The following is a 14,781-nucleotide window of genomic DNA, read 5'->3' as shown; positions in this document are numbered from 1 at the left end:
GCCTGTTCTTTTTTTTTTAATAGTCATTGCAAATATCATGAAATGTATTGTTACAGGAAGTTCCTTTGCCCTCCCAAAAGCCACTCCACTTCTATCTAAGGAAAATGGCCCAGTCCTCTCCTAAGTCCACACAGGGGAGGTGATAGCATTGCTTTCATGCAAATTACATAATGCAAAATGTTTTAAATCTTAGCCTTAATAACTTTGTATTTTGTTTTTGTTTTGTTTTTACTCTTTTTTGAGACAGGGTCTCACTCTGTCACCCAGGCTGGAATGCAGTGAGGCGATCTCAGCTCACTGCAACCTCCAGCTCCCCAGCTCAAGTAATCCTCCCACCTTAGCCTCCCGAGTAGCTGAGACCACAGAAGTGCACCACCCTGCTTGGCTAGTTTTTTGTATTTTTGGTAAAGATGGGTTTTCACCATATTGCCTATGCTGGTCTCAAATTCCTGAGCTCAAGTGATCAGCCTGCCTTGGCCTCCCAAAGTGCTGGGATTACAGGCATGAGCCACTGCGTCTGGCCTATTTTGTTTTATTTTGAATGAGCCATTGTGGCCACACTTTTTGTCCCTAAACTTGAGGTGTATGAAGGCTTTTGGTCTCCCTGGGATTGGATGGAGGTGTGAAAGTAGCAAGGGGTTACCTGTACACTGACTTGAGACCAGTTCAATAAAAGTGCACATTAAAAAAATACAATATTAAAGTCATAAAAGTAAAATTATGTGTAACTATGCATGTATGAATTGCCTTAATTGAAAAAAAATGAAATTATAAAATTATTGGAACTATCTTGGAAAACACAAGATGTACAGAAACCTGCCCTCCTTTAAATAAGAGATAAAAGAAAGCTATGGAATCGTCTCTAAGAACCTTTAAGAAATTGTCTTAATCTTCTCAGGCTGCTGTAATAAGATGCCATCAACTGGGTGGCTTAAACAACAGAAATTTATTTATCACAGTTCTAGGGGCTGGGAAGTCCAAGATCAAGATGCCTGCAGATTCGTTGTCTGGTGAGAGCCAACTTTCTGATATGTAGACAGCTGTCTTCTCACTGTGTGCTCACATGTCGTTTCCTCCATATGTACTCATGGAAAGAAAGATCTCTTTCTTTCTTTCTTTCTCTCTCTCTCTCTCTCTCTCCCTCCCTCCCTCTCTCCCTCTCTCCCTCTCCCTCTCTCTCTTCTTTTAAGGGCACTAATCCCATCATAAGGGTCCTACCCTCATGATCTAATCTAGACCCAATTATCTCCCAAAGACTCCACCTTCAAATAGCCATCACATTGGGGTCTAGGGCTTCAACATATGAACTGGGGGAAGAGAGACACAAACATTCAGTTCATAACAGAAATAAATCTTGTCCTAGTGTGGTGGCTCACACCTGTAATCCTAGCACTTTGGGAGGCTGAGGCAGAAGGACTGCTTGAGACCAGGAGTTCCAGACCAGTCTGGTCAACATAGTGAGACCCTATCTCTATTAAAAAGAAATGAAAATAAGATTAATAAAATTAAAAATTTAAAAAGGACGGGCCACCAGTAGTGGCTCACACCTGTAATCCCAGCACTTTGGGAGGCTGAGGCAGAATGATTGCTTGAGCCCAGGAGTTTAAGACGAACAAAGCAAGACCCTGCCTCTATTTAAAAGAAGAAGGAGGAGGAGAAGGAGGTGGGGGGAGGAGAAGGAGATGGGAGGGGGAGGAGAGGGGGAGAAGGAGAAGGAAGAGGAGATGGGGGAAGAGGAGTAGGAGAGGTAGGAAGTGGGGGAAGAGAAGGAGGAGGAAGGGAAGGGGAGAAGAGGAAGAGGAGGAGGGGAGGAGGGGAGGAGAGGGAGGATGAGGAGGAGGAAGAGGAGGAGGGGAGGAGAGGGAGGATGAGGAGGAGAAGAGGAGGAAAAGGAGGAGGAGAGAAAGGAGAGAGGGGACGGAGAGGAGGAGGAGGAGAAGAAGAAAAGACGGAAGAAGGAAGAAGAGGAGGGAGGGGGAGGGGGAGGAGGAGAAGGGAAGTGAGGAAGGAGAGGAGGGGAGGAGAGGGAGGATGAGGAGAAGAGGAGGAAAAGGAGGAGGGGGAAAGGAGGAGGGAGGGGATGAAGAGGAGGAGGAGAAGAAAGAAGGAAGAAGGAAGAAGAGGGAGGGGGAAGGGGAGGAGGAGAAGGGAAAGGAGGAGGAAGAAGGGGAGGAGGAGGTGAAGGAGGAAGAGAAGAAGAAAAAGAAGAAAAGAATGCTGAGAATGCTGACTGCCTTCTTTGAGGCTATAAAACATGGGAGGTTGGGAGGGAGTCTAGACAGAAGTAACTTCTGGCTTCTGTCTGGTTCCCCCTTCCAACAGAAGATTAATGGTATCCAATAATCCAGAATTCCATTGATATGTCATTGTCTCCAGTACTCCCAGGTAATGGTGACTGATACAGATACAGGGGTCAGGTGGAGGAGAAACCTGTCTAGCCTGGTGGATATTTTCAAGGGAGTGACAGATGCTACCAGAGATGATCAATTTCTCAACGTTATTCTTTACAACTGGGTTGCCCCTTCTCAGACTGCCTGCAGAAAGGCCATCATAATAGTTTGGTGAGGGGCTAGAAAAAGGGGAAATGTGGATGCTTTCATGACTCATTCATAGAAATGAACTTCTTAGTTCATCCTGGATGACTGACACCGGCAAATATTTGATTATCAAAACTCTACCCCTGTAGTTGGGTTTTCATAGTATTTATTGCTCTTGAAGAGCACCAAAAATTTTCATTCTGAATTTGATGTATTTTGAGATGACTGTTCAGAAAGCCTGCAAAGCTGTCTTTTGTGGGGGAGATCTGCATCTGCAGAGAATCTGCATCGATGCAGAAAGGCTTTCTCTGGTGCTCTCCCTTGTCCAGATTTAGGAAAGATTAACTGAGAGTCTGACATCTTAAAAGGTCTAACAGAAACCTTTACCACCTATTCCTTCTAAAGGCTACTGTCTGTGAGATTTCATTTGTTCACCAAGACCGTCTTTGCTGGCCAGGCCTCTTCTTCTCCCCCTCCCATAACCTGTCTTGCCACCATAACCTGTTTTGCCCAGATGCAAGCTCTCATTCTTTCTGTAACCTCAAGGTGGTATAAAAGCAACCATTGGGCATTTCTTTGAGTTTTTATATTTTGTATGACTCCCACACACATGCGTGCATCAAATAAAATTTGTAGGAGACCGGACCCAGTGGCTCACACCTGTAATCCCAGCACTTTGGGAGGCCGAGGCGGGCGGATCACCTGAGGTCAGGAGTTCAAGACCAGCCTGCCTAACATGGCGAAACTCTGTCTCTACTAGAAATACCAAAAAAAAAAAAAAAAAATTAGCCAGGCATGGCGACGTGCACCTGCAGTCCCAGCTACTCAGGAGGCTGAGGCAGGAGAATCGCGTGACCCGGGAAGTGGAGGTTGCAGTGAGCTGAGATCGTGCCACTGCACTCCAGCCTGAGCGACAGAGCGAGACTCCGTCTCAAAAAAAAAAAAAAAAAAAAAAATGCGTAGGCCTCTTTTCCCTTTAATCTATGTAATCAGTTTGTTTTATAGACTCAAATTATCAAACATTCAAGGGAAAAATTTAAACTTCCCTACACTCTCATCTTTCCCTGTCTCCCACCTTATGAACATTATCTTAGTCCTTAAACCTCCTTCTAGGCTGGGCGTGGTGGCTCACGCCTGTAATCCCAGCACTTTGGCAGAGGCAAGTGGATCACCTGAGGTCATGAGTTCGAAACCAGCCTGGCCAACATGGTGAAACCCCATCTCTACTAAAAATACAAAAAAAAAAAAAAAAAAAATTAGCCAGGCATGGTGGCAGGCACCTGTAATCCCAGCTGCTCAGGTGGCTGAGGCAGGAGAATCGCTTGACCCGGGAGGCGGAGGATACAGTGAACCGAGATTGTGCCATTGCACTCCAGCCTGTGCAACAAAAGTGAAACTCCATCTCAAAAAGAAAAAAAAAAAACCGCCAGGTGCGGTGGCTCACGCCTGTAATCCCAGCACTTTGGGAGGCTGAGGCGAGTGGATCATGAGGTGAGGAGTTCGAGACCAGCCTAACCAATATGATGAAACCCCGTCTCTACTAAAAATACAAAAATTAGCCGGGTGTGGTGGTGCCCGCCTATAATCCTAGCTACTCAGGAGGCTGAGGCAGGAGAATTGCTTGGAGCCGGGAGACGGAGGTTGCAGCGAGCTGAGATCACGCCATTGCACTCCAGCCTGGGCAACAGAGCAAGAGCGCGACTCCGTCCCAAAACAACAACAACAAAAGACAAACACACACACACACACACACACACACACACACACACACACACACACAAACTTCTCCCCAAAGGCAAGGCAAGGGAGACTAATACATGCAGTTGTACTTTCTCGGTTCTGGTGAGAAAGCTGAAATCATCTGCTTAAAAAAAAAAGGTTTGGGTTGTACATGGCGGCTCACTACCTGTAGTCCCAACAGTTTGGAAGGCCGAGGTGGGAGGCTCACTTGAGGCTAGGAGTTCGAGACCAGCCTGGGCAATATAGCGAGACCCTATCTATACAAAAATAAAATGTGGAAATGATGTATTTGTGTTGGGACCTCTGTGTTATATACAAAAACATCCCAGTGCAGCTCCTTGGTCTCAGTAGGATGCATGAGCCTTCAACCCTCTCAGCCTGGGCTCAGAAAATTTCCTGGAGCAGATTAATTTGGAGTTTGGTTTAAAGGAGAAGCCAGTGGCGGCAAACACTCTTGGTTATGAGAGGTCTCTTTTTCTTTCACTTTCTTCCTTCAGCTCCCCTAACTGCCATGCAATGGGCAGAAGACATAAAGTGAACTTAAGGCGTATTCTTTCCTCAAGCAATGAGACTCTTACCCCTTTTGTCATGGCAATGGATCTCAGAGTCCACTTAATTCCCTGGTCCCTGATCTCAAACGATGGCCTGAGGCTAAACAATTTGTTTTCTAGGGTAGCTTGGAGCTTGTGGGTGAGGGGAATTACTACTGTGTCCTCTGCGTTCACCCAGAGAGTGACAGAGATCAGGAACCACTGCCTCTCCCCTGCCAGACCTTGTCGGGCTCATGGGAAGCACATGCGTCAGTGTACTAGGGATTCCTGGCGCCTCAAGGGTTCAAGCAACCCTCACACCAGTAAAGGCGGCCCTGCCTAGCACAGGCAGGACGCGGAGGTGGAGAGTTGCGGGGCGCCATGCAGCCGCCAGAGGACGCAAGTGCCTCAAGTCCCCGCGCGATGGCGCCCCACGGACCGGGAAGGAAAGGTGGTCCGCCTGCGAGGAGGCGCGGACCGGGCCAAGGAGCCCATAGGAAGAGCGGGGCGCCGCCTCACCCGCGAGCTGCCGGCCTCTGCATCCGGCCCACCTGTCCCTCCCTGCCTACCAACCCAAGAGCCTCACCCCGATCTGCGCTTGCTGGGTGACCTCGACGCCCGGGCGGGGACAGAGGGCGCTCTGAGCTCTGCGCTCAGCTCCCAGACCCACTCCCACTCCGAGGCGGAGGCCAGGTCTTCAGAGAGGAACGACGGAGGCGCAGAAGCCCAGGGGCAGCCCGCTCCAGCCCTGGCAGCCGCGGAACAATGGCCCGAGCGGCTGCGGGCGCCGCGGCGGGCGCGGAGGAGCAGGGGCGCCAGGGCGCTGGAAGCCCCGCCCCTCGGCCGGCGCCCTGACAACGCGGGCGGGCTGGGCTGCGCCGCCTGCTCCCCGCCCCTCGGCCGCCTGCACCGGGCGGGGCCCGGGCCAGAGCGCCGCCGCCGCCGCTGCTGCAGCAGCAGCTGCTCTGCAGAGTGGTGGCCGGGGCCAGGGCCGGGGTGCCCTCCCTCCCACCTTCTCCCGCCATGAGCCAGGGAAGTCCGGGGGACTGGGCCCCCCTAGATCCCACCCCCGGACCCCCAGCATCCCCCAACCCCTTCGTGCATGAGTTACATCTCTCTCGCCTCCAGAGGGTTAAGGTAATGTGTGGGGAGCGGGCGTCGGAAGGACCCGTGAGGATAGGAAAATGGGGCCATTTGAGCCCTGGCAAAGGTGGGCTTGGGGATCCACGAGAAGGAGATGGCTGAGAGGCTTGCGGAGCGGGAGTCCGGGGGTGCGCACGTGGGGGCGGCCGCGGTTGGGCAAGGAGTCCTGGAGAGGACGCTGCGGGCTTGGGCGATAGACAAGCTCGAAGATGTGGAAAAACTGAGTAGGTGGGGATGGAGGGCTGCAGGGGACCCTGGGGTTGGAGAGATGAAGGACGCTGGGGAATGCGGATTACATTCTGCAGAGCCTGATGGCTAGGATGGAGTTAGAGTCTACGGGAAGCCGGGGGTGGGGGCGGGGGCGGGGGCGTGCCGAGTATTCCTCCGAGGCATGACTTAGAGGGAAGACGTTTCTGGGCCGGGAGCCTGCGACCCTGTGCCCTTCCTACACTCCCTCTTCCCACTCCCTCCAACCCCCCTCCACCCCGCACTGCAGCACCTCCCGGTGGGGGCAGGGAGGCTGAGAGGGAGGTTGGCTACAGGAAGTGGAGGGCCGCGCCAGCCTAGGGGAGCTGGGAGGTGGTGTGGGGAGGGAGTGTCCAAGGTTTCTGCTGTCATCACCTCCCCGGAGGCAGGCTCCAGGGGCTAGGTTTGCTTACCTGCTTCTTCCCCAAGGCAGCCTATGGAGTCATCCTGGCTCCTGGCAGCCTCTCTCCCTTGCAGAGTGGGGCCGAGCTCTTGTCTCCCATATCCCCCGGTACTCTAAGATTGCTGTTGAGCAGTGTCAGAAAATGACCTCGGGTCTGAAAACTGGACCTCTGGCTGTTTACAGCCCTCTGCCTCCTAGGCCCAAAGTGGAAAGATCTGTGCACCTGGTTTCTGTTGGGCATAGGAGCTATTTATGGAATAAGATGTGGGGGAGGAGGACCTGTCTCTAACCTACTGTACATCAAGCACAGCGCCCTGCACTTTCGCATGCATTCTTATTAAATCCTCTAAGTGCTAGATGCTTTTTATGGCTTTCGGTTTTATAAATGGGGTAGGGACCAACTGAAAGACAGGAAAATAAGGCCCTTGATGCCATTAATCTTTTATCCTCTTGCCCTCATTGGTATCTTCATCCCACCTTGGGTCCCAGTCCCCTCTCCTGTTCCCACACCACCTGTCACATGCAAGGGATGATGGCTGTCTGCTCCTGGGTCTATGCTTTGTGGAAGAAGGATGCTGTGGAGGGAGCATATCCAAGCTCTAAAGTGGCATTCTCTCCCACCCTTTGCAGTTCTGCCTCCTGGGGGCATTGCTGGCCCCCATCCGAGTGCTTCTGGCCTTTATCGTCCTCTTTCTCCTCTGGCCCTTTGCCTGGCTTCAAGTGGCCGGTCTTAGTGAGGAGCAGCTTCAGGAGCCAATTACAGGATGGAGGAAGTAAGTGAGGGATCAGCCCCCAGAGACCCTACTTCTCTTCCCTGCTGTCTATTCGGCTCCCTCTTTGAGAAGAAGAAAAGAGAGCATTCTGAAACTATTCTGTCTAGCTTGGGTAGATGAGATGAGTCAGCCAAGCTCAGACGTGGTTCCCAGACCTCACCTCTAAGTAATGTGCCCTGATAGGTCCCAAAGTGGCCAGAGACCTTGGCCCCTTGGTCACATCCTATTTAAGGGTAAAAGAGGGGTGCCCTACTTTCCCGGTGTCTGAACCTGGGGGCGGGTGAGGGTTAGAACCACTGCTTCCGCTGATACCCAGCCTTGCCCTGGCAGGACTGTGTGCCACAACGGGGTGCTAGGCCTGAGCCGCCTGCTGTTTTTCCTGCTGGGCTTCCTCCGGATTCGCGTTCGTGGCCAGCGAGCCTCTCGCCTTCAAGCCCCTGTCCTTGTTGCTGCCCCACACTCCACTTTCTTTGACCCCATTGTTCTGCTGCCCTGTGACCTGCCCAAAGTTGTGTCCCGAGCTGAGAACCTTTCCGTTCCTGTCATTGGAGGTGAGAGAGTTCAAAGGGGGTGAAGGGCAGGGTGACAACTCTGGGCAAAAAAAGTCAGGAATGGAGACACTGGAGTGAAGAACTGGCCTCAAAGTGGGGAGGGACTGTTGGCAAGTGAAATATAAATTAACACCATTAGTCAACCAGTCTTAGATTCTGAGGGCTGGGACAGAGAGAAGGTGTTGGAGGGAGTTCTGGTCAGTTCTCTAAAAGGACAACTACTATAAAGGGATTGTCCCAGGGCAAAGATAACAGGCCAGGCACGGTGGCTCGCGCCTATAATCCCAGCACGTTGGGAGGCCAAGGCGGGCGGATCACCTGAGGTCGGGAGTTCGAGACCAGCCTGACCAACATGGAGAAACCCTGTCTCTACTAAAAATACAAAAAAAGTAGCCGGGCGTAAAAAAAAAAAAAAAATTAGCCGGGCGTGGTGGCCCATGCTTGTAATCCCAGCTACTCGGGAGGCTGAGGCAGGAGAATCACTTGAACCCAGGAGGTGGAGTTTGCGGTGAGCTGAGATCGAGCCATTGCACTCCAGCCTGGGCAACAAAAGCGAAACTCTGTCTCAAACAACAACAACAGAAAAAAAAAAAAAAGAGATAACAGAAACTTCTCATGCTGTTGAGGAAGTGGAGGCTGCAGATGTTACTGCCCCTGGGTAGGAAAGAAGTGATTCCTCTTTGTATCCTTCCCAACCCCAGCCCTTCTTCGATTCAACCAAGCCATCCTGGTATCCCGGCATGACCCGGCTTCTCGACGCAGAGTGGTGGAGGAGGTCCGAAGGCGGGCCACCTCAGGAGGCAAGTGGCCGCAGGTGGGTAAGGGTCTCAAGACCATCTTCTCACTTTCCATGTGCTCCTGAAGAGGCTTCCCTTTCCTCTCTCCACAGCCTTCTTCAGTCTTCTTCACCTCATTCTGCTCTTTTTTACCCCAGGTGCTATTCTTTCCTGAGGGCACCTGTTCCAACAAGAAGGCTTTGCTTAAGTTCAAACCAGGTGAATAAAATGATAGTGGGTGGTGGGCTGTAGGAAAAAGAAGTTCCAGATTTGGGGAGGGACTCTGAAATAACCCAAGAAGTAGAAGAGGGGGAGGGATGGGAGAGGAAGGGAGACCAGGAACCTCCTAGCTAATGCTGTCAAGTCGAGGAGTCAGAGAGAAAATTATCAATGAGTGGAACAAAACCATATCTCATTTGAGAACTGTCCCAGACTGCCATACCTCATGCCCTCTAGCTACTTCTGTGTACTAACCTCTGCCTTGTGGGGGTGGGGGTGGAAATGGGATTTAGGAGCCTTCATCGCAGGGGTGCCTGTGCAGCCTGTCCTCATCCGCTACCCCAACAGTCTGGTGAGTCTTAGTCCAAGAAAGAGTGGAAAGGGGGAGCACAAATCCACCCCAAATGGAAATAAGTGAAAACTGTTGGTGCTTTAATGGGATGTGCATTGGGGGCTGTGACCAGAGGTGGGATCAGGCCCTCTGTTCAAAGGTGATTGGCCAGTTCCAGGGGGAAAAAGTAATGCTCTTATGCCCTCACCTGTGTTTCTCCCATAGGACACCACCAGCTGGGCATGGAGGGGTCCTGGAGTGTGAGTTCTGGTATTCCTGGGGGTGAGGGTGGGGAGCAGGGTCCATCAGAGAATTCCTGGCCCATCTTCCAATCTCCCGACAAGGTGAATGGCCCTTCTTCATCTGAGGACTGAGAGAACTCTAGAGGAGACACCACTTTCCCCCTGATGTCCCCATATAATCTGGCTGTGCTTAGATTAGCTATCCCACCTAAACTGTTCCTGCTGTGATTATGGCTGCTATGCATTTATCTTCCCATGTTTCTGTGATTTTCTCCCTCAATTATCCCTTCCTGAGAACCATCACCATCAGGCATGCCTCTCGCCTTTTTCTTCCATTACTCAAACCTCCTCTTGCCTACAGTTCTTCCTCTGGCATATCCATGCAGCTCTGCTCTCTTTCCCTACCGCGTTTCTGGCCGTTCCTTGTGTCTCCCAACTGCATATTCACCCACCTGACTGTATGGCTAGGAGTCTGTCCCTATTATCAATGGGCAGAACTTTTCCCACTCCCCACCTGGGTTGGGGAAGGGGAGTGGGGTGTGGGAGCCAGGGAAGGAGCCCATAGTTAGAGATTGGTGAGTATCGAAATCTCTCTTCTCTTAGACTCAAAGTCCTCTGGCTCACAGCCTCTCAGCCCTGCAGCATTGTGGATGTGGAGGTATGGCTCCCGTGGGGGCGGTGGGAGAAGTACATCTCAGACTCCTGAAACCTTGGGAAAAGAGGGTGGGAGTGGTCATACCTCACTTTGAGGTTCTGATAAGAATTGTGTGTGTCTGTGTTTCAGTTCCTTCCTGTGTATCACCCCAGCCCTGAGGAGAGCAGGGACCCCACCCTCTATGCCAACAATGTTCAGAGGGTCATGGCACAGTGAGTGCCCCACAAACTATTTCCTGGAGCAGTTGCACAGGGCAAAGGAACCACAGGGGCGTGGAGGGGGCGAGGTTTTCAGGCAAAGATCGAGGAGCAGGCAGTGGGAAGGGCTCTTGAACAGCTGAGACAGAGGCAGGGAGATTTAAAGGGGCCTGATCTACTCCAGTCAGCGGGCCAGGGTCAGGAACCAACCCTCAGAAGTTTCTTCTGCTTCCTTACCCTCCATCCCATCCCTCTTCATCCTGTAGGGCTCTGGGCATTCCAGCCACCGAATGTGAGTTTGTAGGGAGCTTACCTGTGATTGTGGTGGGCCGGCTGAAGGTGGCGTTGGAACCACAGCTCTGGGAACTGGGAAAAGTGCTTCGGAAGGCTGGGTAAGTGGTCTTGGAAATGAGGGTATGAGCAGTGTCACAGAGAGAGAGAGAGAGAGAATAAGAAGGGGAGAAATGAGAAGGAAGAAGGAAAATCTTAAAAATGAAAAAAACTGGGAAGAAAGATAATAGAATAAATAAAAGGAAGTGGGGAATAAATGGAAGGATATGTAATAATGCAGGTGAAAAAAGTAAGAAGGGGCCGGGCACGGTGGCTCACACCTGTAATCCCAGCACTTTGGGAGGCCAAGGCGGGTGGATCACCTGAGGTCAGGAGTTCAAGACCAGCCTGACCAACATGGCAAAACCCCATCTCTGCTAAAAATACAAAATTTGCCGGGTTTGGTGGCACATGCCTGTAATCCCAGCTACTTGGGAGGCTGAGGCAGGAGAATTGCTTGAACCTGGGAGGTGGAGGTTGCAGTGAGCCAAGGTCGTGCCACTGCACTCCAGCCTGGGTGACAGAGCAAGACTCCGTCAAAAAAAAAAAGAAAAGAAAAGAAAAAAGTAAGAAGTGCTCTCAAGGGACTGTGAGTCAGTACATCTTAGAAAAACAGCAGCTAAACCTGTACTGATAGAACTCTTGGTACTGGGGCTGAAGTCCTGCTGATGGTGTGTCCAGAAGGAAACTGAGACAGCTCTCTGCCTTCAACAATTCCATCGTAGGCTGTCCGCTGGCTATGTGGACGCTGGGGCAGAGCCAGGCCGGAGTCGAATGATCAGCCAGGAAGAGTTTGCCAGGCAGCTACAGCTCTCTGATCCTCAGACGGTGGCTGGTGCCTTTGGCTACTTCCAGCAGGTAAAGGAGCTGGAACAAAGAGCAGAGCAGAACCCAGGCTTCCCTCCAGGCTGACATGTTCCTAGTGGCCGTATCAGTCACTCACAGTTTGGAGTCCTCAGTGGATGTTCTCACAGCTGTTGTTAGATGGCCATCCCCTGAGATCCACTGAAGATTCATTTTTTAATCAGGCATCCAGTGCATTGAAGAGCAATGTTATCATCATGAGGAGGAACAAGGGAGAAATAATCAGTAAGGACTATAAATTTCTGAAACCACTTTAGAGAGTGGCGAAGGTGGGGAATCATAAGACCTTTTGGGGTGCTGGGTGAGGGTCTTTGAAGGAGAGTCATGAAGGTTACGTGGGAAGATGACATGTAGAAGAAACAACACCGGACAGTTAGATGGTTGAGAGCTTGAGACCCAGCTATATCTGTAGGACTTGGGCAGATTATTTTAAATATCCTATAGCTTCTCTAGAGGAATTTTCTCAAGATTCTTAGCAAGCCATGTATTTCTCAAGATTTAACCAAGTTCCCTGGTCAACTTCCAAAAATCCTAAAAGATTCTTAATGCTTATGAACAACCAACAGTGGTCCCAAGGAGCTTTTTGATCTGAGATGCAGAATGTGACCCTCAACATCCTCTGAAGGGACAGAGTGACCAGGTATCTAGATTCCTTAGATTGAGGCGGACTGTCCCCGAAAAGAGCTTCCCCCACTTGGCCTGTAGCAGAGCAGAAACAAAAATTCAAATGCCATGGTCTCCCATGGAGCTGGTACAGCAGGCATCCTCCTTGTGTTTTTCATAAGAAATTATGCCTGTGTCCCCCTTTCAATCTGTTGGACCAGTTCTTCTACATAGGCTGAGTCAGAGAGAACCAGTTTGTCTAGCCTGGGGACCAGGACTGCCCTCCGCTGGCATGTCAGAGACTTCATAGTAGCTTCAGCATTCCTGAGGGATTCCCTTACATTCCTAGGAGATCCCTTTATGGGAGGGCTTTGTCACCAGGTGACCTGATATAGCTTGAGAAAGCCTATGACCTGAGAGAAATTCCAGGGATCCTAAAGAGTTTGGAGCTCACAGTTCTGAGGGGAGCAGTCACAGGGATCACCCCCATTATTTGCTGAGAAGAGGGAGGAGTCAAAATCCAAAGAGCAGGAAGGGAGGCGCAGGGTCCCCGCATTGCCCTGGTTTCTTTTTCACACCAGGATACCAAGGGTTTGGTGGACTTCCGAGATGTGGCCCTTGCACTAGCAGCTCTGGATGGGGGCAGGAGCCTGGAAGAGCTAACTCGTCTGGCCTTTGAGGTAATGGGGGGTGGCGGTGGTGGGGGGTGCTTAGTGGCTATGCTCACCCCGCTCCAGGAGGCCTATTTTGGTATGCTGTTTCCAGTAGCTTCTAGATACTAGGCATTTGGTATCCAACCTAGTGCCACAGTGCCTAAAACTGCAGACCCCCGGCCTCTATGTTGAGACCTAGCTGGGCACAAGAAGAAGGAAGAAGAAGGAAAAAGCTATAAAGTCTACAGTTCTGCAGAAAGGGCACTGGAGGGTCAGGGAAGGCTTGTGCACCACCCTTTTGGAAGAGGAGGAGCCTGTCAGGCCAGTCTGTGGGGCAGGGTGAGGCCATGGCATGAGGAGAGAACTTGACTCTTATCCCTTTCTCTCCCAAGCTCTTTGCTGAAGAGCAAGCAGAGGGTCCCAACCGCCTGCTGTACAAAGACGGCTTCAGCACCATCCTGCACCTGCTGCTGGGTTCACCCCACCCTGCTGCCACAGCTTTGCATGCTGAGCTGTGCCAGGCAGGATCCAGCCAAGGCCTCTCCCTCTGTGAGTCACTGCCTTCTCAGCCCCACACGGGCACTTGGGGCACCATCAGCATCCAGGAAAGCACTGGGCTGGGAGGGAACAAGGGTTAGTGGCCAGTGCTGGAGATCAGAACCTATGAGAAGTAAGGCTGGGAGGAACAGGCTAGAAAGGAAGAGAGGACCTGAACCTGGATTTGAGAAGTTAAACAGAGTAGAGGCACAAGGTGTTTTAGTTCTGAGAAAAAAGCAGGGAGATTCTCTTCTCGTTCTTAGATCTTTTCACTTTTCCCCATCTCTTATTTGTCCAGGTCAGTTCCAGAACTTCTCCCTCCATGACCCACTCTATGGGAAACTCTTCAGCACCTACCTGCGCCCCCCACACACCTCTCGAGGCACCTCCCAGACACCAAATGCCTCATCCCCAGGCAACCCCACTGCTCTGGCCAATGGGACTGTGCAAGCACCCAAGCAGAAGGGAGACTGAGTGCCTCAGCCTCTCACCCCCTCCTCCTCAGGGCAGCGCTAGGGGCCTCCCCTATGCCTCAGCCCCATCTCTGCTCCTGTTTGAATTTTGTTATTGTTGTTTGGTTGTTGTTTTTTTAAGTTGATTTTAATTTTTTGTTTGGTTGATTTTTTTGTAAAAAACTATTTTATATATAAATATAAATCTATATCTATATCTATTAAAAAAAATGAAGTCCAGTCATATTGATGTTACCATTACTTGGGAAGGAAAGGGATGAATGGTTGTAGGACGCCCGTTGGAAAATCACAAATGTTTCCAAGGTTCGTCCTCTTGGCCATAGCTGGATGAATCTTCCTCTTCGGACAGGGCTCTTTCCTGCACAGAAATCATACTGAGGTTCCATATCCTCCCTCCTGCTGTCATCTCCTATATGTACATTTTAACAGACTTCCTCGTGAACCTCTTTTCAGCCCATTCCCTCTTGCTCTGTCCTCATTAAAGATTAAAAAATAGCTTGCTACCATTCCATATTTAATAATCCTACTGAGACTTGATTCCATCGCCCCTAGTGGAAGCAAGGAGCTGTGTCAGTAAGGAACCGGCCTCCTCCCTGCAGGTCAGACCAGCTACACAGGAGGGTTTCTCTGACACAAGATGAGTAAGGACACTGAAGTCCTTTCTGTTCAGCCTCTTTTCAAGGAAGAAAACAAGGCCCCCTAGAGACACAATTATGGACAATTAGAAAATTAGGCTGGGCATGGTAGCTCATGCCTGTAATCCCAGCACTTGGGGAGGTTGGGGCAGGCAGATGGCTTGAGGCCAGGAGTTCAAGACCAGCCTGGATGCTGTGGTGAAACCCCACCTCTACAAAAAAAAAAAAAAAATAGAAAAATTAGCTGGACATGCTGGTGCACACCTGTAGTCCCAGCTACTTGGGAGGCTAAGCTGGGAGGATTGTCTAAGCCCAGGAGGTTGAGGCTGCAATAAGCCATCGT

General features: G+C 51.0%; 1 protein-coding gene across 5 annotated transcripts, besides 7 other annotated features; it reads left to right on the top strand.

Moving 5' to 3' along the window:
- Positions 3,176-3,235: an enhancer, noted in NCBI's record as "active region_9181". NCBI's record gives its function as "activates an Ori minimal core promoter by ATAC-STARR-seq in GM12878 lymphoblastoid cells {active_cell/tissue: GM12878}" and the evidence as "EXISTENCE:reporter gene assay evidence [ECO:0000049][PMID:35858748]".
- Positions 4,580-5,575: an enhancer, noted in NCBI's record as "NANOG-H3K27ac hESC enhancer chr15:34659557-34660552 (GRCh37/hg19 assembly coordinates)". NCBI's record gives its function as "activates a minimal SCP1, AML or CMV promoter by ChIP-STARR-seq in primed H9 embryonic stem cells {active_cell/tissue: H9 hESC(primed)}" and the evidence as "EXISTENCE:reporter gene assay evidence [ECO:0000049][PMID:30033119]".
- Positions 4,691-4,980: an enhancer, noted in NCBI's record as "active region_9180". NCBI's record gives its function as "activates an Ori minimal core promoter by ATAC-STARR-seq in GM12878 lymphoblastoid cells {active_cell/tissue: GM12878}" and the evidence as "EXISTENCE:reporter gene assay evidence [ECO:0000049][PMID:35858748]".
- Positions 5,351-5,400: a silencer, noted in NCBI's record as "silent region_6284". NCBI's record gives its function as "represses an Ori minimal core promoter by ATAC-STARR-seq in GM12878 lymphoblastoid cells {active_cell/tissue: GM12878}" and the evidence as "EXISTENCE:reporter gene assay evidence [ECO:0000049][PMID:35858748]".
- Positions 5,531-5,990: a silencer, noted in NCBI's record as "silent region_6283". NCBI's record gives its function as "represses an Ori minimal core promoter by ATAC-STARR-seq in GM12878 lymphoblastoid cells {active_cell/tissue: GM12878}" and the evidence as "EXISTENCE:reporter gene assay evidence [ECO:0000049][PMID:35858748]".
- On the top strand, positions 5,735-14,298 carry LPCAT4 (lysophosphatidylcholine acyltransferase 4). Of its 5 annotated transcripts, none has more exons than NM_153613.3 (14): positions 5,735-5,944; positions 7,230-7,372; positions 7,703-7,923; positions 8,625-8,737; positions 8,858-8,918; positions 9,212-9,270; positions 9,475-9,509; positions 10,095-10,149; positions 10,276-10,358; positions 10,610-10,735; positions 11,399-11,531; positions 12,722-12,820; positions 13,186-13,342; positions 13,629-14,298. In NM_153613.3, the coding sequence occupies exons 1-14, from the start codon at positions 5,831-5,833 to the stop codon at positions 13,802-13,804; spliced, it is 1,575 nt and encodes a 524-aa protein (NP_705841.2). In that variant the 5' UTR covers positions 5,735-5,830; the 3' UTR covers positions 13,805-14,298. The 5 variants fall into 5 exon arrangements, 3 of the variants coding, with proteins under 3 accessions (NP_705841.2, XP_047288290.1, XP_006720517.1); XM_047432334.1 differs by lacking the exon at positions 13,629-14,298 and adding an exon at positions 11,702-11,762 and having other exon boundaries at positions 13,186-13,298; XM_006720454.2 differs by lacking the exons at positions 13,186-13,342; positions 13,629-14,298 and adding exons at positions 11,702-11,762; positions 12,104-12,177 and having other exon boundaries at positions 12,722-12,806.
- Positions 6,111-6,160: a silencer, noted in NCBI's record as "silent region_6282". NCBI's record gives its function as "represses an Ori minimal core promoter by ATAC-STARR-seq in GM12878 lymphoblastoid cells {active_cell/tissue: GM12878}" and the evidence as "EXISTENCE:reporter gene assay evidence [ECO:0000049][PMID:35858748]".
- Positions 6,241-6,330: a silencer, noted in NCBI's record as "silent region_6281". NCBI's record gives its function as "represses an Ori minimal core promoter by ATAC-STARR-seq in GM12878 lymphoblastoid cells {active_cell/tissue: GM12878}" and the evidence as "EXISTENCE:reporter gene assay evidence [ECO:0000049][PMID:35858748]".
- Positions 14,299-14,781: the final 483 nt, after the last annotated feature.

Source organism: Homo sapiens, chromosome 15 (assembly GCF_000001405.40).
Source record: "Homo sapiens chromosome 15, GRCh38.p14 Primary Assembly".
Lineage (NCBI taxonomy): Eukaryota > Metazoa > Chordata > Mammalia > Primates > Hominidae > Homo > Homo sapiens.
Note: the sequence above shows the minus strand (reverse complement) of the source record. Positions and strands in the feature narration are given on the sequence as shown.